General features: G+C 34.6%; 1 non-coding gene across 1 annotated transcript; it reads right to left on the minus strand.

Annotated features, from left to right (window-relative positions):
• Nucleotides 1–417: 417 nt before the first annotated feature.
• On the minus strand, nt 418–499 carry MIR3168 (microRNA 3168). Its single transcript, NR_036127.1, has one exon. It is a non-coding gene; the product is annotated as a microRNA 3168 (primary transcript).
• Between the last annotated feature and the right edge of the window lie 746 nt (nt 500–1245).

Here is a 1245-nt window from a genome sequence, read left to right on the forward strand (position 1 = left end):
TCATTTTACAGATTAAAAATTTGAGATTGAAATATTAGGCAACTTGCATGAGGTCAAAACGTGGCAAGATACAGAACAGAGACTGAACATACGACTCAAGATTTTCTGCATGTTTTACATTGGTGGGCTCAAATTTATTCAAATGACAGAGCCTCTAAGTGTTATGGTGTCCCTTGAGAAACATCTGCTTAATTCACAAGACTACATTATATGTACACAATATGAGAATCATGAGAACATATGTCCATGTCAAAAACATATGTCCATGTCAAAACTGTCTGCTAAAAGAAATATGAACTATTTATAAGTTTTCCATGAATATTCATATAGCAATTAATAATCAATTTACTACAACCCTATGAGACAGATACTAGTATTACCCTCCTTTTGCAGATAAGAAAATGGCATAGAGAAGTTAAGTCACTGGCCCAGGGTCACACAGCAAGAAGTGAAGATGAGCCTCCAACTCAGGCTGTCTGACTGTAGAACTCATGATCTTTAAGCATTATTCCATCATTTTGTCATCAATGAGGAGGAACAAAAACATTTACACATTAGTTCGTATGTGTGTTTCTCTGTGAGAGACCCTATTTCTAAAAAAAAAAAAAAAAGAATTTGTTGAAAGGACGCCACATGCAAAATTGATTGGAAGGGCAAACAACCAGTTCAGAAAATGTGAAAGAACAAATATTTCTCTGGCAGCCAGAACTAAAGCAAAACTCAAGTCAGTGCAAATATCAATAAGTCTGATAACACATTTCTAGGAGGGATGGGTGAAATGGCACCATTATATATTGCTGGTGTAGCATAAATGGGCATAACTTCTCCAGAAGGCACTTCTGTAATACCTTGTCAAAATTCCAAATGCCAAATGTACACACCTTTTGAGAAATTGCTTCTAAAAATATTTTGGCATAGAAGTGAAATAATGTAAGTAGAAGAGTATTCACAACAGCACTGTTTGTAATGGCAAAAGATTATAAGTCACTTAAATGTCCACCAATGGAAACTTAGTGGATTATGATACATTTTTACAATGTCTACTCTGAAGATAAAAAAAAAAGAGTGAGCAGGTCCTTGATGTACTCATATGGGACATGCTACATAGCATTAGAAGCAGTTTATATACGTAAAATATATATGTATTTTACATACGTACAAAAATACACACATGTAAATGAAAAACAAAACTATAAGCCCTCAAATGACTAAATGGACCCCCTCTTAGCCAAGAAGACACCAGAG

This window comes from Homo sapiens, chromosome 13, assembly GCF_000001405.40.
Source record: "Homo sapiens chromosome 13, GRCh38.p14 Primary Assembly".
NCBI lineage: Eukaryota > Metazoa > Chordata > Mammalia > Primates > Hominidae > Homo > Homo sapiens.